Source organism: Homo sapiens, chromosome 5 (genome assembly GCF_000001405.40).
Source record: "Homo sapiens chromosome 5, GRCh38.p14 Primary Assembly".
Lineage (NCBI taxonomy): Eukaryota > Metazoa > Chordata > Mammalia > Primates > Hominidae > Homo > Homo sapiens.
Genome location: NC_000005.10, coordinates 61,455,876 through 61,480,141, shown reverse-complemented (window position 1 = coordinate 61,480,141; position 24,266 = coordinate 61,455,876). Strand labels below are relative to the sequence as shown.

At 37.1% G+C, this 24,266-nt stretch overlaps 1 protein-coding gene across 4 annotated transcripts in view; it reads right to left on the bottom strand.

Moving 5' to 3' along the window:
* The window catches only part of ZSWIM6 (zinc finger SWIM-type containing 6), a 213,915-nt gene that overhangs the window by 66,031 nt on the left and 123,618 nt on the right, over positions 1 to 24,266 (bottom strand). For 2 of the 4 annotated variants that reach the window (XM_047417453.1, XM_024446139.2), the window contains exons 1-2: positions 11,481 to 15,949; positions 7,105 to 7,461 (exon numbers count right to left, since the gene is read on the bottom strand). In XM_047417453.1, the coding sequence (XP_047273409.1) occupies positions 7,105 to 7,234 (130 nt within the window). In that variant the 5' untranslated portion in view covers positions 7,235 to 7,461; positions 11,481 to 15,949. Of the gene's footprint in view, positions 1 to 7,104; positions 7,462 to 11,480; positions 15,950 to 24,266 lie in introns of those variants that run through there. The other 2 variants (NM_020928.2, XM_017009677.2) reach the window with 1 other exon arrangement.

The window sequence follows — 24,266 nt, the reverse complement described above, 5'->3', positions numbered from 1 at the left end:
GAGTAAAAACACAGTGCTTTTCAGGTAAGTTATTTTCCATTACTTATCTAATAAATGTATTAATGATTACTCAGTACACAAATATAAATATTTAAGTGCAAAGTTCTCAGGAAGTCTTACTATTACATAATCCAACTCTTCAGATTTATTAAAAGAGATCAACTATGTTTGCAGGCTTTAAGAATAGTTGGCTCCAATTATTTTTAAAAGACTTAAAAAAAAAAAGCTGGTTCACAAATATTTTCCTTAAATATTTACCGCTGCCCTTAAGGACTCCTATCAACTGCCACATCACAATGATGATGGTAATAGCAGCTCACTTTTACTCCTTGACCATCCTGACCTTATGAAATGGGCACTCTTCATTGTCCACATTTTACAACCAAGAAAACTGAGGCCTGAAGACATTCAGTTACTTGGCCCTGTTAACAAAGCTGGAAAGCAAAGGGCCAGTATTCTAATTTAGGCTGTCCAACTTCAAAGCTGGAACTCTTAAACACTCTGAATAGCCTTACAGTGGGAGGTATGAGAAACGCCATTGTGGGGGAGATGGGAATAATAAGCTCTTCTAGTCAACCTGGAGAGATTGGAGGCCAGTTAAATGAGAGAGGGATGGGCGAGGAAACTGATCACAGCTGGCACCAATCTTTTTAAATTATGAGGGTTGGGATGGTGTCAGAGATGACCAAAGAGTGTGAGGGAAGGCAAGATGTGGAGGTGAAGAGAGGATGAAGGGTATTGGGCTAAAAGTAACCTGGCTGTTTTTGCATTCCCCAACAAATTCCTCATGGGCTAGAGATTTGTAATTCCTCCTAATTAAGAGACATAAGTTCAAAGACTACTTCTTTGGCACTACTTCTTTGGCACTAAAGTGAAATGTAAAAACTTTTCATATTAAGAAAAAAAAAAGGATCCCCTGTACATGATCAGAGATTCTATCCATGTTTTTTTAAAACACTTTTTTTTTTTTTGAGACAGAGTCCTGCTCTGTCACCCAGGCTGGAGTGCAGTGGTGCGATCTTGGCTCACTGCAGTCTCCGCCTCCCAAGTTCAAGTGATTCTCCTGCCTCAGCCTCCCAAGTAGTTGGGATTACAGGCACACGCCACCATGCCCGACTAATTTTTGTATTTTTACTAGAGACAGGGTTTCACCATGTTGGCCAGGCTGGTCTTGAACTCCTGACATCAAGTGATCCACTCACCTTGGCCTCCCAAAGTCCCAAGATTACAGGCATGAGCCACCAAGCCCAGCCTAAAACCATTCTTATAGAAACATCAAGTTTTACTTATAACTTAAGGGCAAAACTGGTAATTTTTGAAGGGAAGTTCAGCAGTACTTACAAAATTCAAAATGCATATATCATTCATTCTGGCATTTCTACTACTAAGAATCTGTTATATCTATACAAATTCACACACACACACACACACACACAAACACACACACACACACTCACACATAAAGATGGTCACAGCAACAGTGTATATACAGGGAAAAATGGAAACAACCTCCTCAAAGTCATTCAGTGAGTTAAAAGCTAAATATATCCATACTATGAAATATTGTACTACAATTAAAACAACTATATAATAACAGTACTAACATAAGATATTCATGATATATTAAGAGAAAAAAACTGAAGACCATTTTCTGAATTATTTATTTTAAAACTTCATATATATGTGTGCACATGTCTGCACATGTGTGTTCGTGAGGAAAAATGTCTCAGAATATGAACCACGCTGTCCACAGTGGCTGCCTTGTGAGAATAAGGGTGCTTTTGGAGACTAAGGGAGCTGTTGGGAATGGGGAAAAAATGAGGACTTGCCTTTTTAGATACTTCAATACTACTACATGAATTCTTCTTTTATAAATTTTCTTTAAGTTTCACTCTACTGCACTTTAAGATAGTATAGTGAAAGCAACTTTAACTATCTCCTACAGAATATATTTGCTAATTATATAGACCATCAGGAGACCCTACCTTTGTTTTACCAACCGTCAACACCAGAATGTTCTATTATACAATAGAAAGGGTATGATAGTAATAATCAAATTACCTCCCTAGGATACCTGCAAAAACTGGTTGCTAAGGCAAGCCCAATTACAATAAACACAACCATCCACAGGGAAATAAAAGGAAGGAAAATGTGACATGAGTCCTCCATCAGATGACTCCAGCTGTCACTCACTGGTAGATTTGGAACATAAAAGTGTACATGTCCTTAAAGAATAAATACCCAACTTCCTACTAAGAACAAAACAGAACGAACAATGACAGTCATACTTTTTGCTTAACAAATATGAGTGCTTATTACATCTTAAGTATTGTGCTTAGAGAAGCTATCAGGATACAGAGGCCACAGTTTCAGCCTGATAAATCTCATAATCAAATGAAAATGAAGAGCTATGCAATGAAGATGGGACTGCTGAATAGATTTGCTTGTTTGTTTGCTAATATCTGAGATAGTCTGAATAGACTGATATACAAGGCGGCCAGGACACAAAGGCACTCAGAGGCAAGGTTAAGCAGGACAGGCAGACTTAAATGGAATTCTTGGTCTTGGTTGTATAAGAACCATGCTCAAACAAATTGAAATGGAAAAACAACACATGAATGCACACCTGGGTGAAGCTACAGAAGGTACGCCTTTGCAGTACGGAGCCTAGGTTCCTCCTATGCCTCTGTAGATAACCACCAGCAAAGACACAGAGCTGGAAGAGATCTTAGATGTCATGTGCCAACCCTCATCCAATATGTGAATAAATGCCTTCTACATTTGGCTAGCTGAGATGGCATCTCTGGACACATGACAGGGAAGTGAGGGGTAAGTCTAGGCTACTTTCAGGATTAGTCCAGCTCCTGGGAGTAAAAGGGCCACTGAAATGATCCTTTCCTCTTTTCCTCTATTCTAGGTTGGGGTCAAGGCCACAGTTTCCCATCAGACTGTCCCTCTTTGTGGTAGTCTACCCAGTACAGGCTAGCCCATAGGAAGATTAGTGTACGAAAAGCCGTAGGAGAGGAAATATGTGCCAGAAAGTCAGGGAAAGCAATCTGACCTCCAATTATAGTATTATCCATCCCTTTACTGGCTTCTCTCTTCTTAACTGTGATGAGTACTTGTGGATACCCCAACATGAGGTAAGGTCAGTTATCTTTTTTTATAATTATCCATTGTATGATTAAAATTATCCCAACACTGTTAGAGATGATTAAGAGCATTTTAAATATGAGAAAAAATGGGTCCCATTCAAGGTCACACAGGTAATATGTAGTGGAGACAATATTGGATTCTAGGCCTCTAGATTCCAAGTTCAGTGTTCTGTCTCTATACCACAGTTTACCAATCTACAATACGTCTCCTTTAATAGGAAGCATAAAGGACAGAAAAGACGAAGTTAATTAACTACGAGGGTGGGGTTAGTACTTGGAAATCTATAAGACTCTAGAAAAGTACTTAGCAAAGATACCAGCTTCTTTTTTAAGAATATGGAAGCTAGAAAGTTTTATTAGAATATAAAACCAAGAGCAAACAATTTTGCTTTAAAAATACAGAACTACAACTGGCAATCTCCTTGGTGGGCCATTAACATTAACTATCTTACAGCCTCTTTTAGCATGTAGTGGTTAATTTTATAATCTAATTAAAATTATGTGGAAAATTTTATGAAAACATATTGAAATGTTAAAAGGTCCACTGACAAGGACTGAACTATTATGATGACAAACTATATTCCAACAACCTTCACTAAATCTGTGACCTTGGATAAGTCAGTAGACTCATTCTCCTTGATTTCTTTATCTACACACTATTGCAATTATAAATTACAAGAAAATTGCTCACAAGGAAATTGTGAAGAACAATGTGTGTGAAATAGGCTTGAAAAACTTTAATTCCCCAGGATAAAATCTTTAAAAAATAAAATATTGCAAAATAATAAGAAAAACAACTACTAAGAACAACTAATAGGATAAGTTCACAAGGAAAAAGGGGAAAAACCTACTGTTATCAACATATTTTGTATTTACTCATAAATTATGTCTTTCTTCCAAAAAAGATTTGGATAAGCTAAATCTTGTCTTTATGATGCCAACTAATCAAGTCTAAATCATATCTTAACCCTTTTATCTATGCGAGGTAAAAGTGATGCTTTTCCAAAGAGAAAAATTAAATCCTCCCAATATTAATGTTCAAGACTTTTGTCTCAAAGAAAAAGTGTATCCACAAAACCACACAAGAAAGTACTGCTTTAGAAACAGATTTCTTAAAAGAGAGTGGCTTACATACAGATCTTTATAGGCAGGTGGGATCATGTTGTCAAGTAACTGCAAAACATTTTTAATCCCACCACCTATTAAGTCATTAACAATTAAAATAAGACCCTCCAGGGAGCAGATTTCCCATTTCATCACTTAAGGTCACCGTGGCTTGCTTCCTACCTCTCTTCTTTTTTACCACTTGTCAAACTAGAATGGAAGGCAGGAAGGCAGCTCATGTAATTGGTCCATTTCCAGGCTGGGAGCAAATTTGATGATAAATTAAGTGAAGAGAAAGCTGGCGGGATAAACTGCTCAAGTTTGCTGCTCTGGAGAAGCTGTTCCTATACACAAGTTATTAGGAAATCATATTGAGTCTAAAGGTAACCTACAATCTATCCTTGATAGGCTTTCCTATTTTAGAAACTATGAAAGAACTACATCACGTGAACACATTCTCTCATCCAACCTTAGTTTACATTGTTTCATTGGTTCCATTATTTCAAAATAGATTGAAAAATCTTTCTGATAAGAAACTTTAGGGGCTACTATCCTTCAAAACAAGCAAGACAAATGCAGAACAAGCAACTGATTACTGATGGAGGCTTTCGGTTTTACTAAAACTCAAGAGAACAAAGTGATGCTAGCAGATTACATGACCTAAGGAAAAAAGGAGGGAAAAGAGAGAATGCATAAAAGTTTGAAGAAATGGTATATTCTGTTCTCTGCTTCCACTGAACAATTTAATAAGAAGCCACAAACAGAGAAATCTCTGGGATGACCATTAGCTGCCCGAATTTTCACACGGCAGCAAGATTTGAGGCAGATGATATGACAGAGCAGAAGCCTACTTGAAAAAGTCCTTGAATACATGTGCTTTTGGAGGGCTGAAGGTACCTCTGTGGCAGCGTTGTTTACACTCCTGTTATTTAACATTGGCAGACTCTACCAAGTCAAACGCTTTACACACCTTATGATAGCTACTTTAGTAAAGCTGAGCCTGATATGGGGAGTACTAGAAGAAATACAACTATGTAGATTTCCTCTGACACAGAAACCACATTAAAAGTATCTCACAGCACCAGGAGACTTATAAAAGAATGTTTACAGCAGCTCCTTTCAAAACTAGGCCTATCAAAAATGAACAAGGACAAATAAATAGCAGTATTCTCATACTCAGAAGACTCTAGAGCTGTGCTGTCCAATATGGCAGCCACTAGCCACATGTGGCTACTGAGCACTTGCAGTGTGGCTACTAGTGTTTTGAGCTATGTTGTGACGTGTGAATCAGTAACCAGATTTCACAGACTTAACATGAAAAAAAGTAAAATAACAACATTTTTCTTGAATATTTATGAATATTATGATATGTGTTGGATTGATATTTTAGATATATTGAGCTAAAGAAAACATACTACCAAAATTAATTTTACTTGTTTCTTTTCACTTCTTAAAATGTGGCTATTAAAATATTTAAAACTATGCATGTGGTTAATATTCTATTTCTATGGGAAGGCTCATGTTATATTTCTATTAGACAGTGCTTCTCCAGATGAATAAATTACAGGTATGTGAAAAAATATGGGTAAACCTTAACATGATTCTGAGTGAAAGAAGTCAGGTAATACAAGAATCATACTGTATTATTCCATTTACACAAAGTTTAAAAATAGATAAAACTAAACCAATGTTTAATAATGTCAAAAACAACAAAACACAAACCGCCAAAGAAGTGATTACTATAAAACTAGGCAGTGGTTACCAAGGGAAGAGAAAGGAACTTGTGACTGAAAGGGGGTACTTGGAGCCCTCTCAAGTGATAAGAGCCATCTATTTCTTGGCCTGGGTGACAGTTCACTTTGTTAATCTGCACATTCATATTGTATGTACTTTTCTACATTTTTACATCTCATAATTTTTAAAGTTTACAAAAAAGGACCTCAAATTGCTTTTCTGAAAACATTTTTATTTGCTGTCAACTAACCACTAAAGAAAACCTAAAAGAATAGGGTTGAGAGACTAGTCCTAGATTTCAAATCAATATAAATAAAGAAATGTAACGTTAGGTCCCAGAGCTGTTTAGTCAAAACTGCATTACTTTTTTCAACATATTTTTAAATATTTTTAAAATTATGTCCAAATGTTTTAAAAGCACAAGCAACCTATGTTTGGCAACATTACTTGTCCTATATTAATGTACTCTATGAAATAAGTGGTAAGTATATTTCTGAAAAGTTGCACCTATATATTCTTGTGAGTTGACATATTTGCACTGCATAAAATAAATACTCGATAAATACGTTCACAAATAAATGAGAAAACATGTTCAATGTATAAAAGTTTTAAAAGAAAACTTTTTGTATTTTCTTATACAAAATATTCATATTCTAAATTCTCTCTAAACAAGCTATAATGTTTTTCCAAAAATAATTTATTTTCCTAATATGAGGCAACCGGTCAGAGGCTTTCCTGCACTGGAAAATAAATTTTAAAAGAAAATGAAAAAATTCACAATATGCACAAGTCAGTGTATTGACAAGGGTGAATTAAGTAAGTGTTCTGCATAACTAATATCTAGTACTTGATGAAATGTGACAAATTTAAAGGAAGTATAAGAACCAAGCTTTAACATGTATGATTTTTCTGAGCACAAAAGCCTTGGTACCTAACACGAAACACTTCAAAAGAAATGTTTTAGAATACAAATGTAAAAATCTCTTTTGACCAACTAAGAGCAATGCTGATGATCTATTTCACATTTAATTCACTTTTATGCAGAAGAATTGAATTTATAAGTGAAAAAGGATCCAGAGAGGAAATTTAAAGAGTCAATGTCTATACTCACCATGAACTTGGTTGATTTCTGAATTTTGGGAAAGAATTTCATCTGCTAATTTTTGAGCAGTTGGCAAAACTTCTGTGTGGTGCACTGTGATCAAATACTGTACAAACTTTTGCAGTTGGTCTCTATTCATTTGAAAGAGAGTCTCTGAAATAGGAAGATGCAGTTTGACCTGATCTGGCTTGCGGATGCGGTATAAAGACAGTGCCACAACATGGGCACAATAAAATATGTCCTTGTTTCCACAGCTGCAGGTCACTGAGGTAATCTTGCAACGATCAAAGCTGATGGCCACGTTGCAAACAGTTTCTGGCTCCGATTGTATTGCAGGTTCTGTCACTGTGCCGCTCAAGTGGAAACCTTGAGGGTGAAAGAAAGAAAGGGAGGGTTTAGCTTCTGCATTCAGATGCTATGAAATGCTCTAATTCTTTGAAATGTGTGGGACTTGACAGCAGCAAGAAAAAAATATGACAGCCTCTATATTCAAGTAAAAACATTCAGGCCACTAACCACTACCACCACCCCCTTACAGGTAAAAAAAGAAAAATAAATAAATGGTATTCAACTGATATGCTGAAGTATTTTACACAGCCATATGAAAACATATATTGCCATACAACACCATCATACCTATAGGAAGTGGTTAGATCACGCACTAAGAGGCCATCATTACTCTGCTCTGAATCAGTGGTATACAACACAATAATCCCCTAGATCAGTGGGATCAGTGGTTTCTTCTTTTTTCTACTCCTTTTTTAAGCAGAGTCACCTAGCTCAGCTTTCTTCTCAAAAACAAACTAACTCTCCCCACCTTTATTCTAGGCAGCCACTAGCTGGCTCCAACCAACCAATACTGCAACTCTAAGGGAGTCCCTTCCACAAACTTTGATCAGATAAATTTTTAAATTTGACAATCCTTTCTGCAACATGCATAATGTATACCCCAATACAGCAATGTCTATGAGCAGCAACTGCTTATAGAATTGCAAGGCCCACCAAATCTCATATACACTACCACCTAAATAACTCATAATGATGATTCTCTTCCATGTCACATACAGAGGAAAGCTATACAGATGTACAGTTATTACACACACACACACACACACACAAATACACGGTACAAAGTTACCAAGGTGGAAAAAGCCTTAAAAGGCCTTATACCTTAAACTTAGACCCACACAGAAATCCTCTATGACAGTGGTCCCCAACCTTTTTCGCACCAGGGACCAGTTTTGTGGAAGACAATTAGATAATTTTCCATGGATGGGGGAAGGGAATGGTTTCAGGATGAAACTGTTCTACTGTTCCACCTCAGATCATCAGGCATTAGATTCTCATAAGGAGCATGCAACCTAGATCCCTCACATGCACAATTCCAAATAGGGTTTGTGCTCCTATGAGAATCTAATGCCACTGGTACTGGTCCACGGCCCAGGGTTGAGGGACCCTTGCTCTATGAGCTCCATGACCAATGGCCATTTTGCTGCCTATAATGGTCCACACATGAGGCACTCACCCTGCCCTGGGGGCCAATCCCCCTTGGATAGCACTAGCTACAGCTTACTATCAACTGCAAACTGCCTTCCACCACCAGTGCCCACCAGGTAGTCCTGACCAGCTTGGCCAGAGGACAACTCCTCCATGCTCTCTTTCCCTACATTGCATAGGAAGGCTATCCTAAATTGGGGTGGGTGGTAAGGGGGAGCATCCATTCAGTTCCACCCTCTCTCTCTCTCTCAAAGCCATATTCAGTGGCCAAGGATAAGCCTGAAGGGAGTAAGAAGAATATAGTTTTGGGAACCTCCACGACTCAGACTGACCTCAGGATTTCAGGTACCTGACAGAAACTTGAATGCTACACAGTGAAGCCCTGGGCTCTCTCCCAGTCTTCCTCTATTGATGCTACTTTAATAAAATTCATCTAGCTAGCCACTGTTTCTTCCAGTTCCCCTTCATTCACAAAGAAAAGGATTGCTACCATGTGGGGACTCTGGAACGGGTGGTGCACATGGAGCTGCAGATGTAAAACTCAAGAATGATGGCCAGACAATGGTAAGAGTTTACACACAGGACATCTGAACCCCACTTACTGTCTTCCCATGCAGAGTCCACCCAGGCCAGACAGTTGAAAGAAATGCTACTCCTAAGAAATCTTTCAGAGGTAATATAATTTCACCTTGATCATTCTTAGTCAGCAACATTTAGTAAAAGGAGAAAGGTGCTGCAATAATCTTTATCCAATGAAACAATGAAAAAAGAGCATTCCCTAAAAACAAGTCACTATTACTGCTTCACGATAAGAAATTTTGAGAACTGTCATATAATAATCTTTGGTTTTTTTTTCACAAATATTCTCACTGTTTCAGAATGGATATTCCAGTCTCCTTTATCTCTTTTAATCAACAACTTTTTCTGAAAAACCACAATTAAAGAAAGAGTACATAGTATATATTCTAAAATTTTTAAATATCTATGTTCCGATGAAGAAAAAGTCACATGAAAAAGTAAACACCCCAGCAAATCTCAAAAATGAAGAATAATGAGGGCAGTCTTGCTGTAATATATGCAGATGTACTATAAACCTATAATAATTAAAAACTCATGGGACAGCACAGATCAAGACAAAAAAATTACCAAGGGAGCATAAGAGAGAGTCTGGAAAGTTCCCAAGCACATTCTGTACATTTAGTTCAAGGCAAACTCTGTTTTCCACCTGTCATATATGTACTTGCACGGGGAAACCGGTTATCTTAATAGGAAAACAGTTATCCTAAACTGACCATTTATAAAATCAGTCTCTTCCCACTTAACACTATCACATCTCTCTTCACCAACCAACTCAATGTCTTTGTCTCTCTGCAAAAGTGATATTGGAGATAACTTTTTCCCCATCCCCACACCTTGAAGATGGAGAACTATTCTAATTACAGGCAAAGCCAAGACAATTAAGGATCCAAGCGTTAAACCAGTTAGTATTTAAAGAGTCTACCAGGAGATAACAGATGCTTCAAAAAAGACTGATTTAACTATTGGCCAGGAGTGGTGGCTCATGCCTGTAATCCCAGCACTTTGGGAGGCCGAGGCAGGCGGATCACGAGGTCAGGAGATCGAGACCATCCTGGCTAACACGCTGAAACCCCGTCTCTACTAAAAATACAAAAAATCAGCCAGGCATGGGGGCAGGCATTTGTAGTCCCAGCTACTCGGGGAGCTGAGGCAGAAGAATGGCGTGAACCCGGGAGGCGGAGCTTGCAGTGAGCCAGTGAGCCAAGATTGCACCACTGCACTCCAGCCTGGGCGACAGAGTGAGACTCTGTCTAAAAAAAAAAGGTTGGGGGGAGGCCTTATAAAAACTGGTGAAGCCCTCAAATGGTTTCTGCAAAAATGACCTGCTTTATTCACATGAGTTATACAGTACAAGTCAGAAAAGAAGTATATTGAATCTTGACATTATACAATTATGCAGAAGGGATCCCACATATTATACAGTTTTGTTACTTAAAATTTACTATTCTTGTAAAGTTTTTTAAAAAGCAAACTATAAAATATTGTGACCTCCAAAACAATTTAAATTCCAAGAGAAATGTGAAGGCACAAATAAACATATACATGTCTTACAGCATAACACTCATTATTCTGAGATCATCAAAGATTACGGTGTTTTATGAATGTTCATTTTCCAAGTAATTCTAGATTATCTTTCAAATGCCCAAAAAATTTCAACCATTTTTGACAGAAATATTTCTAAATGTCACAAATTCTACTCTGCCCGCCTAATCAGGAGACCATTTAGGGTGTTACTGAATGAGGAAGAACTCTAACAGATAACTGCAGATGGCAGTATTTTTAAAGTTGGCTCTTTTTGTTACCTTTCTTCACCATCAGCTACCAGGATGACTCCTCTCCTATACTGCTAACTTTCTTTATAGAAACTTCTTTTCCTCAGTTAATGCCATCTCTAATTTGACTAGCTTTGTGGCAGCTATTTAATGCTCTGAGGCCTATTCGTTTTGTTTTGTTTGGCGGGCGGGGGCTGGGGGTTCCCCTTACCTTTAGGTGAGCATGCTAAAGTAGAGAAGTTTTACCTTAAATACAGAAAATTATACATATACACATAAAGGGCAGCTGGTATATTACTTTATAAGACTATGCAATACATTGACTCAGTCAATATGCAGGAATTCAACCAAGCCTACTTCAGCCTTGTATAGTGGTGTATTTTGGCCTCTCCAATTTGAGAAATCTTCTTTGAAATTCTACCAACTCATTCTCTGTGGATCCTAAATCATACCTGAGAACCCACAGGACAAACAAGGACACTGTTCCTCCCTCAATAATCCCAAGAAGGCTGTAAAACATCCCCCTGCTGGTCATACCTCTTAGGTTTTGTTTCAAGACAAAATAATGTTCCTGAGAATTGATTTTGCCTTTCCGGAGTTTTGACAAACTATGATGACCAGCTGTTTTAGGGCTGCAAATGCAGAATCTTCCTCTAGGATAGTTAGCTGTTCTATATAACAGAATTGAGCATACAAAAAGGGACAATCCTGCGCTCTGTGGAAAAACACAGATAATTAACTGTAGAACTAAAACATAAATTATATAAACCTTTTCTTAAAATATTTATTTGACTTTATAAAACATAATCTGTGAAAGACAGTTAATTCCACAAGAGCTTCACAGAGCAGTCAAACTGTTTTATCATCATGCTGTCACAGAACCCAATAAAATGTTAGAATCCCCATTTTTAATCTGCAGGAACTGAAGAAAAACAAACCACAAACCAAGGCACGGTGTTGTATAGTCCTTGGGAATAGACTTTGGTTTGGATCAGGTTCTGCCACTTAAATGCTACATATCTTATATTAAATATTTAACCTCTCTGAATCTTGCTTTATTTGTGTGCAAAATGTGGCTAGAAATACCTCCTAGGGTTGTTTGGGGAATTAAAATGAAATAACATATGTAAAGCACCTGGCACATAGTAAAAGTGCTCATTAAATTTTATTTCCCTTTCCTTCCCTTCCCAGCTGGAGAAACAGGGGAGGGGTGTGGACACATTCCCTTTCACCCATAACACTTTCTTTTTCTAAGCTACTGGAATCTTGAGGGGAGGAGGGGTCTAGCCCGTGGAGGTGGCTTGGAAAATGAGAGGGATCACTGAGAATGTCTCAGTTAAGTGAGTCAGACAATAGTAGAAGAATCACTGCTATTTGATGGCAAAACCAAAGTATTTCAAAGAGTTACTTATACCTTTACTCAACCCAGCTCTCTTTCCCCATTTTCCTATTAAGTTCTGTCAACTCACAAATAGTTGATTTTGTAAAAGAGTGTTACTTTCATACAGAGAGAAACTAGAAAGTATTAGGGGAGAATCTTTTCTAGTAACTATAGGATTCTAAAATGTTATAATGCAATGATTCTCAATGTATGGTCCTGGGACCCCTAAGAGGTCCCTAAGTCTCTTTGAGAGGGTCCACAAGATCAATATTTTAAAAAATACTTACATCTAGACATTATTAACCCTTTAAAATCTTCTTCATTAATGTATGTTTAGTTTTCCAGTATCACATTAGTACGCAATGTGTAATGTAATGATATCACATTCCAGTATCATTACAAACTGAATACAGAGACAGACAGCAAAGTCCAGCTCTCTTTTGATACAGACATTAAATAGGCTTGCAAAAATATAAAACAATGTCACCCTGTTCACTAAAATATTTTGTTTTGAGAACTGCAGATTTTTTAATAAAGATATATTATGTTGTGAGTTTATTACTGTTATTTGATATAGATATTTTTTTCTTTTTAATTTCAAACATAGTAAATATCACTAGATATAATTCTCATAAGCAAAAGCGCTATGGGCACTTCCATTATTAAGAGTGATACCAGAAAGTTGAAGAACTGCTCTTATAATGCACTGCCAACAGGCGGAAGAAAGAACTCTTCTCTACGCCATATTGATGTGGCATTATTTGCACTTAGCTCTTATAGTAGGTCAAAAAGACTCAGTAGAGAAACACTGAAGGGGCAAAGTCCTCACACATGAACACATATTCAAATCATCTATGTTAATTTCACATTAACAAAGATTAAGGTTTCTAGAAAGCAAATGTTTAATTCTTCATTGACGTTCCAAATTAAGCTTAAGAAATTAAGCTTTTCTTAACATATTTTTCATATCTTAGGTTAAATTTTAGTTGCATATTAAAGGGAACAAGGAGACACATGATATCAGACTGAAAAAAAAGGGATTTTAAAATACACAATTTCTAAAAGTTGGCCATTTTGTGCATATTATGTATATGCACTCAGTTAACTGAAAGACTGTTATAAACTGAAAGACTGTTATAAACTCAAAGCATTAGGAAATTTCTAAGCTAAAATAAACTGGCAGACATGAAATAAACATGCACACTAAAAACTACTGCTTTCATGGCACATTATTTCCAAAAAAATATGCGCCCTGTGTACAAGGCACCCAAGTAACATATTCTTTGTTGAAAAAGAATTTAACAGAAGCACTGGTGTAGTACTTACACAAATACATCTTTCACCCTTTTCCTAAATAAAAAGAACCCCCAGGGAAATTAAAGGCAGAAACCAAGGCAATGTAATGTTATGGCTGAAAGGGTGGCAAGGGTTGTGAGGAGTTTTTCTGTAATTTTTTTAAAGGCAAGTCTAAAAATGCAAAAGTGTTAATGCTCCCATGATAATGTATTCATTGCTTAACTAAACCCACTGCATTAGCTAAATGTATAGTAACTAATACTTGATTATGTAACCCTGGTAAAGTAGATGAGTTAATCATTGCCCAAAAAAACCCTTTTACCTTTCCCAACTCTGAGAACTATTGCACATAATCTAACACCCCACACTACAATAATCGATATTAAAAACAAAAAGTTTTAATGTAAATCATGTACAATTTCCAGATCAGCAGAACAAACAACATAAGGGCCCAAGATGGAAACTTGTATGAAATATCATATTCCTTTTCAACTCCATAATTTTCTCAAAGGGAAATCCTAAATTAAAGGGACTGCATCCTGTGAGCTGGCTAATTAAATCCTCTAGCACTAATTTCTAATGCTAAGCTTAAACAGCTTATAGAAAGACATTAGGAGATTTTGCCGGCAATCACTAATGAAGTGGTTTTCATCTTTCTGAAAAAAATATTTTTTAAAGGAAAAGCTTTATTTTAAGACTACCTTAAAAATGCCTATTTAGAACTCAATCACTCCTACACTTCATTAATATTTGAGAGAAAAACAATGGCAAATTAATGCAAAGGCCAGACTGTAAACCACAGCATACCATACAAACAACATAAAAATTTACGGAGCATGCATTGGATGGGCCCAACTAAGAGTTCCCAGCAGCATTCTGCTCAGTATTGGTTGTTTTCTCATTAATGTAGATTCTTACACCATTTTCTTACAAGAATCCAAGTGATCAGAATACCTGTGTTAGATATGAGTGGCATTAGATAATTATTTAAAATTATTTTTGAAAATAAGACTCTCATCCACTAATTTGGATATCTGCAGTGGGCACCTAGAAGTACCACTAGTTTAAGGGGAAGTGTTGAACTAGAAAAAAAAAAAAAAAAGTCATATCACTCCGTCATACCAAATCCTGAAGCACATAAGGGTTCCCTACCACCAACAACAAATTACTATCAACTAATTTTTCAAGATGTATTTCTGTATTTTAACTTGCATACTTAAGGGAAACAATCATTGTCTAGCCTCAAATTCTGGGTGGGCAGTTGGGGAGGGGGTTGTGATTAAAAGAAAAATTGGTGGAATTTGAATTATTTTCACAACTGTAACTCTGCAAAATGCTTAGGAATGTAAATTATTTGCCCCAATCTTTTAAACATAAGCTGCTTTCTCTGATGCCAACCTTTTCTAATACAAAGAAAGCAGCTCTGGCCTTCCACCCTTCTTAAAGGTGGGGACAGCCCTGCAGCCCTTCCTCTCTAGGATCCCTTGTCACCTGCACACCCCACATTGCCCCCACCTCAGTTCACTGCTGCTTCCTCTCACTGCTCACTTTGGCCTCTCACCTGGGTCCCAAAATTCTGAAGTGCAGATGAAGTTTATTAGAGCCCTTTGGTGCCCAAGTGGCAACTCTTGGCATCTCTGCGTACTTTATCTTGCCTCCCAAGGACCGGGTGTAAACGAGGAGGAAGCAGAAGATCCTTTTACCTATTTATTTCCCATTGCTGCTCACAGCAAAACAACCTTTGGAAATGCTTGGCTGTTTGCTTTAGGAGTGGTGGTGAAGAGGAAACAGGAGACTAATTCTGTTTACCAGGGCCAAGAGGAAGGGGAAAGTATGCTCAGACCTGGGAGGGGAGAAATGTAGGCCTTTGGCAGCCAAATTCTTCCACCCACACTCTGGAGCTCTCACCTGATCCCTCACCCCAACATGAGTCCTCACATTTTGGCGCTAACCATTCCTAATGCCTTGCCCTATGCCCAGGCTCTAACCCACTTAATTCTCACAACCATCCTGCAAAGCAGGCATCATATTCCCCTTTCTACAGGTGAAGAAACTGATGTTCTCTAGGAGAGGCCGTGGTAGAACACACTCTGGATTAAGTAGAACTGAAGGGAACATAAGGTTTCTACAATTCGAATAATAAACTTACACAAATAAAACCTTTCTACTCCAACACATAAATGATTTTAAAAGATGAGGGAGGCAAGGCATGGTGGCTCACGCCTGTAATCCCAACACTTTGGGAGGCCGAGACAGGTGGATCACTTGAGGTCAGGAGTTTTGAGACTAGCCTGGCCAACATGGAGATACCTCATCTCTACTAAAAATGCAAAAAAAAAAAAAAAAAAAAAAAAAAAAAAAAATTAGCCGGGTGTGTTGGCATGCACCTGTAATCCCAGCTACTTGGGAGGCTGAGGCAGGAGAATCGCTTGAACCCAGGAGGCAGAGGCTGCAGTGAGCTAGATTGCACCACTGCACCCCAGCCTGGGCAACAAGAGCGAAACCCCATCTAAAAAGAAAAGAAAAGAAAAGATAGATGAAGGAGAGGCAAACTAACAGATCCAGACACTTGAGTAAACTCTGCTAGGGTTGAGAAGCTTGGAGGCAGAGCTCTTTCATCTCTGTAGCCCAAGGATCCAGCACAGTTCTTAGAATAGGCCAGGCCCTCGAAAGTACATCAAATGAAAGAACTCATGGGGTTCTTCCAAGTAATGCCCACCCTGCACTGTAAAAGTCACAAATAACTAAATGCTCTGGCCCCAAGCCCAGGATACTTTAACTTCATGAAAGACTATTTTTAAGAGTCCACTCCTCTCTATACTTCAAGCTAAACGGGAAGCTCAGAGATAGCAGAGGTCTGTGGAATCCCCATCACAGAGGACTATCTTGGAGGAGGTACTCCAGAAGAATTTGTTAAGATGAAAGAACACACACACACTCTTGGCATGTGGAACATATAGATCGGTGGTTCTCACACTGGAATGTGCATATGATAACAAAGATTGCTGGACCCCATATGTCCAGGGTTTCTGGTTTAACCCAGGTGATGCTGATAATGCTGGTGTCCAGGGACCAAAGTTTGAGAACCACTGACTTAGAGGATTAGAATTACAGCCTCAACAAGTCTTTTCTAGCCAAGATATATTTGAGCAAACATAGTAAATGGAACAGTGAAGAATGTATAACTCATGATATTAAAAATATATACAATATCTTGCTTCTTATGTAACCTAAATGTTCCCATTCTAAGTCAGAAACTGGTCTGAGCATTACAAAATAAAAGTAAAAATAACATAATAACAAAAGCTGTTACTATCATAGTTATTAATACTTAAAGCTAGATCATCTTTTCAGTAAAATCTTCATTAAAAATCTAAATTAAAATACTAAAAGTTTTAAATAATCAGAGAGTATTTACTTCTGCAAAGAGACTGTTTTACAACATCCCTGGGATTCCTCATAATTGGGAGTTACTTGTATATTAGAAGCAATTCAATTAATGAAAAAAATATATAGGCAGCTATTTTAGTAACACATTTTTCACCTGAGGCAAAGTACACCTTATATGAGAAAGTCAGAGGCAACAGAATGCAGGATGGCACAAGGTGGGGTAGGACTGGAAAGAGAATTAGCACTTTTTAAAACAAGATCGGTCTTCCTTCGAGCTCCATCACTATCTCAGTTTGGTGAACTTAGCCTTGATGTTTTCATCTATAAAAAGGGATAATAATACCTATTTTGTAGGACAGCTGTAAGGACAAAAACTGACTACATACAAACCATCACAACTCCTTTTATGGAATGCCTGCCATCATCATTATTGTAATAGAAATGCCACATACTCTGGGAAGCTTGGCGTTTTCAACACATGCACTAAAACCCTAGCCCGTTAGTGTAAGTGCACTTGCTGCTGGAAATGCCAAGCTCCCAGGAGCATGCTGGCATTCTACTACAATAATGGACTATGGTTTGTTGTTGTGCTAATCCATAGCTAATATATCCATACTTCCAAACTAATAGAACTGCCGTCATTTTTTTCTGTTGTTCCAATTTTACATAGCACATTTTAAAAATGTAATTTGAAGGAAAATGAAAAGGATTTAGAAGACTTAATTTTTCCACAAAATAACTTTTAGTTTTAATCAGTTAAAGAAATGTTTCACTCTTCCCTTTGAAGATTTCTCTCTACTAAAATATAAAACATCCCTTTTATCCCTAATGTTTGCCTTCCATGTGAGGTATATAAAATTATTTTCTACAGCTCAAGTCTATCTTGTCCCTGAGGGGAAAACTAATTCAAAGTTGGATGCAAGAGTAAGGAGACTAGTAATTCTTGTTTTGGGAAGAAAAAGTGACCACAGCTTTTCATCTTCACTAATTTATAGCCTGACAAGCAAAGTGAAGTCAGAGCTCCAGCTCTCCTCAAAGAATCTCAAGGAACACTAGCTCCTGCAAGGACTGTAAGTTACTGTCATTTCCCTTACTGTAGAGAGCCAGCTGGGAAGAAAATCCTCTCTGCCCAATTTGTACGCTTTAAGAACAGTGAGGTAGATATATTTTTACCTTGGCTAAATGGCACATTTTTTCTTAAATACATAATGATGAAAAATAAGCAAAGAGGTCATCTGTTCAAAAGGCAGATAAAACCGGCTAAGTCATTACCACCCATATCTTGGAGCACTGTAATTACAGGTAATATTTTATTTTCCTTGCTTTAGTTGGTTGGGGGGAGTGTTTTTTCCTGAAATTTCTACAATGAACACATACTGCTTATAAGAAAAAAAAACTGCTTTCACTGTTCAAAGTCTTCCTGAGTGAAGAATTTGACTTAATAAATGATTTCCAGCACCTGTTCTGAGAGCCTGGTAATAACCACACCCCCAGTACAAACACTGACAGTCATCAGTACAGCTCTGCCTTACTGACTGGTCCAGCCTACTATAGCAACAGGGCACTCCAAAGCTTTCCACTGGATGCTGAACCCACCTTATGGCTTAGCCACAGTCCACAGAAGAGGACCGGCTACACAACTCAAAAGTAAGACAAGGCAGAGAGACTGGGACTCTTGATTCTAATTTCAGCCATTATGTAATTCTAGCCCCACTGGCAAGTTATTTAATATCTATTTCTTGTTCCCTCTTTTTCTCTCACTTATTAAATAAGGGAAATAGATAATGAATGATTTCTAAAAAATTATGGAGGGAGGCAGCAGTAATAGAGAGCCAACCATGACAAGATATGGGGTGGTAGTTGCTATACTCACTTATATAGCATAAGACTTTTGACCTTGCCTGGCTACTACAGGGTTGAATCAATGGTCATCTCAAATGACCTGGTGGCTTTGGCTCAGGGAAGGGGAGAGAGAAAGGATAAATATGACAATAGCTGCAGTCACATTTGTGTCACTGGCATTTGGGGGGAAATTTTTTAAAAACTCCAAAATTAAATACAAAAGCAAGTAAGTGTTTAATTTTTACCAACATAATTTTTACTCATCTGCCTGAAAGTGAGATTCTTAGGGCATTATATCTTTTTGTTGTGTTCTATACAGCTGGCAAAATTTCCAGCTGTATAAAGAAATCTCAAAATACATAAATATAGGTAGGGTTTATCTATGCAAAATATATAAAAATATAGAATAAATAATATAGAAACATAAAATAAAACCCATTAAAAAACGGAATGAAACCTATGGATCATCTTGTCTGTCTGCTACATAAAAGGATGTATTCTTTCTCTTATTATCTATTATATATTATGAACATTATATATTATGATACTCAACAACCACTTCCTTAATCCCCTACTTTGTAACAGGAAATATACAAGTCTCCCGGGAGGCATCCATGAATAACACAGGGTTCCAGTTCTGAGAAGTCACTGCATTATTGGACAATTTGAGTTAACAAGACAGATTAAGTTGGATTTGGAAATAAGAAGAGATAATATCTAATACAATGTAAATTTTAGAAAGAAGAGAAACTACAGTACAGACCCCATTTCCGAAGCCATGTTCTATGTATGTTAACAGAAGAGGGAAGGGTTCCCAAGGTCTTACAAGTTTGGATTAAGTTTCACCACCTTTTGAAGATTCAAAAGCACATGAAAATGGTAACCGCTGTAAGAACTCATACAGTAACAGGACACCTAATGAGCTCTATTTACTAGTAAAAGGTCTACAATAACTGCTGTAAGATATTAAAAAAAAACAAACCATAATTCAGTATAAGCAGTAGAGCTGATAAACAGAACTATGGGCTCAACTGAGTTTAGAATCATCAATCAGCATGAGCCAACTGAAAGGATTTTGTGATTTTTCTCCAGGAGTTCAAGACTACCTGGACATGTATGGCTGAAAGGCTGGAGATGCCACATCATCAATATCCCTCATCCACTATGAAAGAACCAAAGAACAAGTATTTAATGGAAAAGGTAAACATCGTTGAAAGTCAACCTTCTTATAATGCCAGACAAAAGAAAATACACCAATGCTGTTGTTATTTGCAGCACAGTCAAAACTTCATCTGGCATACTCTCAACCAGAAATATCTATTAATATTTGAGTAAACAGAATACCACACACTCTTGACTCACATGGCTGAGAAAGTGTTTACAATATTTTATATCCAAATCCTTAAAATTTGAGTGGCAAAGCTCAAATTCCCTTTGCGGGAGGACCTGAAAGAGTCTAACATGAAAATACTGCATTGGAGTTTATTCTATAATACAACAACAGAGATCCATGGCTATATGCAAAAAAGACTGCTAAGATCTGGTGGCACTTAGAAGTACCTAGAACAGTGCCTGACATATGAATACTTATTGAGTGAATGAATAAATAAAAATGTAAAGCTTTTATTTAATACAAGGTTAAATGAAATCTGAATACTCTACCAGAGAGTTCTATTGTGAGAAGCTTCAAGATAGCAAAGTCTGAAAGCAAACGATCTATGTATCTTGCCCATGATGCATATATGAAAGAGTTGTGACTAAGAACTAAACTCTTATTGTAGATAATATCCTTGATTAAAGTGTGACTTTTGCAAAAATCTCATAAAAATTCCACTAATACTATACACTATACTACTATACACAAATAGAAATGTGTTTTTACTTACTTCTTCTGAAAGCAAAGCATCTATAATATAAAGGAACAGATATATTCCATTTTATTAGCCCAAAAGAGCATGTTTGTTGGATACTGATAACAACACTATAGAAAAAAGTCAGAAAAAAAATCAGCTACTGGCCCAGGGATCTAACTACAATTTTCCTTTCAATATCAAATAACTGTTAAATAAAGCTATTTATGAAAAATGATTATCTTATGTTGCTAAACTTTAGGATTTAAAATAAATTTTACAACAGATAACTATGAATCACTGCCAAATTTTTGACTTCTGTTCTTTTTTAACAAGAAATGTAAACCCAAATGGTTTCAAATGTGAAAGAGTGCTAATTAAGTAGCAATTATGTACATAGTGGCTTAGGCTTCAGAATCAAATATGTGTCTGAGGAATGGTAGTATAAATGGAATTAGAACTGACCTGGGAAAGAGACTTGAGTTTTAATCCCAGCTCTGCTACCAATTAGCTGTTTACCTCGAGTCTTTGGCCTCCTTTTTTTTTTTTCTTTTTTTTTTTTGAGAAGGAATCTCGCTCTGTTGCCCAGGCTGAAGGGCAGTGGCATGATCTCGGCTCACTGTAGCCCCCGCCTCATGGGTTCAAGTGATTCTCCTGCCTCAGCCTCCCGAGTAGCTGGGACCACAAGTGCCTGCCACCATGCCCAGCTAATTTTTGTAGTTTTAGTAGAGACGGGGTTTCTCCATGTTGTCCAGGCTGGTCTCCAACTCCTGACCTCAAGTGATCCACCTGCCTCAGCCTCCCAAAGTGCTGGGATTACAGGCATGAGCCACGGCGTCCAGCCTGGTCTCATCTGTATACCTGAAAAAGAAAGCTGAAGGACTAGATCAGTGGTCTCTTACCTTCTTTTTCAGAAGGTTGGGAGGGAGCGTAGATCACTAGAGAATCTGAAAAAGGGCAACAGATGTTCCCCTCCAAATATGCACAAAATTATGTAGAGTATTTCAAAGTTTAGGATCTCTGTTATCTACTCATTTATTTAGGTTAAGGGCATTCTTGCAGATCTCCTCATAGATTCTCAAACTGTAAAATTTTTAGATTCTAAGTAAGTCAAAAGCAGCCAAAATATATATACTCATAGTCAAAATGCATGGTGAAAACCTAGACTTTTGCCTCGTTATTTTTTTCTTTGGTTTATAATAAATACTTTTGAGGATGCTTTTTAAGAATTTTATTGTAATTAAAAATGTATTTTTGGTATATTTCAAGTCATTTAGAGGTAACTAGAATACTTATCCAAGCATCTACATACTCAGAGGCAAATATATGTATCCAACCTCAAAGAGACTATATTATTATCCATTCTTGAGAATAGGTGATGATTTAAATATAGTCCACATAATATGGGGCATCAAATGATAAAACAAGAATAATTCTAGAAGAGATTTTTAATGGCAATTAAAGAGGGGGAAATTTGAGAAATAACTGGCATAATATATATGATTCAATGACTGATTATTGCCCTATTTCATTATAAAACTAAAATAACATACAGATTAAATGCAGACAAAAACACAGTACTTCAGTATCATCAGATACTAGTCAAAAGATATATGGGGCTGGGTGCAGCGGCTCACACCTGTAATCCCAGCACTTTAGGAGGCCGAGGCTTGTGGATCACCTGAGGTCAGAAGTTCGAGACCAGCTTGGCCAACATGGTGAAACCCCATCTCTACTAAAAATACAAAAAATTGGCCAGGCATAGAGGCAGGTGCCTGTAATCCCAGCTACTCAGGAGGCTAAGGCAGGAGAATTGCTTGAACCTGGGAGGCAGAGGATGTAGTGAGCCGAGATCACGCCAGTGCACTCCAGCCTGGGCAACAAGAGTGAAACTCTGTCTCAAAAAATAAAAATAAAAAAAAAGATAGAGGGGCCACTTATTTAGTCAATCACAATTGTTATGTTTACAAAGGATACTTTACTTGCCTAAAATATAAATATATTGGATATACAGTCAAGGAAAATTCCTCAATAAAAACAAAAACAACAAAATGAAAACTGCCTGAGAACTGAAATATATGGCTAGTTTTCAGGCTCCAGAATTTTGAGGAAAAGGGAAATGGCTATTCATGTATAAATCGAACACATCAGCTCATCAAACGTTTCATAATAATTCAAACTAATTTCTTTGGCACAGTACGAACCCTGCTACTTGAGGTTAAAATGAATTTGCTTCTTTTCTCTAAAGTAGACAGGTAATCAGAAATTGGATAAGGTTTACAAACACCGCATATTCTCACTCATAGGTGGGAAATGAACAATGAGATCACATGGACACAGGAAGGGGAATATCACACTCTGGGGACTGTGGTGGGGTCGGGGGATGGGGGAGGGATAGCATTGGGAGATATACCTAATGCTAGATGACGAGTTAGTGGGTGCAGCGCACCAGCATGGCACATGTATACATATGTAACTAACCTGCACAATGTGCACATGTACCCTAAAACTTAAAGTATAATAATAATAAAAAAAAGAAAAAAAAAAAAGAAATTGGATAAGGTTTAATCTTCAACAGAAATTGATTTCCCTGCTTCAGAAACCTATAAATGTTAGTACTGTAAAATATGATAGAAGAAAAGATACAATAAATGATAGCTACAGCTGTATCTTACTACTGGTCTAACTGGTTCTCTTTCACTTCTCTCTCCTCCTAACATTTATTCTTTCAAATTCTTTCCACACTTTCAACCTCTACTGAACACATTTGTACCTTGCCTCTTTCCCTTATCCTTCACTCTGCTATCAAAGTTACCTTTATATACATATGCACAGCAGGAGAAATTCATTTGAAAGGCTAAGAGAATCATTTCTTGTGGCAGCTGTATTCCCCAGCAACTGTAAACGCTACCTGGACCACTTATAAACTAGCTGGGGACATCTGCAGTTACTCTAAGAATAAGGTTTTTGTTTTCTTTTTTTTTCCTTGGTGGGGTCACCTCTGCCGGTCTATTAGGAGGACAAGTCTACATTTACATACTTTTTTATATATCAAAATTCAGCATTTTGTTAACCAAGAAAGTAAAAAATCTAGCCAGATTTGAGAAGTATTAGCCTTAAAATATTATCTTAAAAACTAAGAAATCCCACTTAATTCCCTTTGATGATTCTCCTAAAACAAATTTGGTTTCAGATTTTTTCTAAATAAATATATGAAAACTATATTCATATTCTTTTTGAGAAGGCCTCCAATATATAAAATCTTTCTGTGAAATTGAACTCTCCTGGTGTAACAATGACAGCCCTATAATGATATAATTTTAAGGGAGAAAATCAGAAATAAAAGATTGATACCTTAAGGGAAGACTATGCTGGCATAATCAGATTAAATGAGGATCCGATTTTCAAGACTGTGACTTTACAGACAGTAGTACTAAATAGGCAAAAACTTCACCTCTCGATAATTCTAAAGAATAAAAGGTTCAGCCTGAATAACTGAGGAAAGGTTTATTCTTGAAACCAGCATTTTCATTTTACCAGGTGATGAAAGTCTTTTGAAAACTT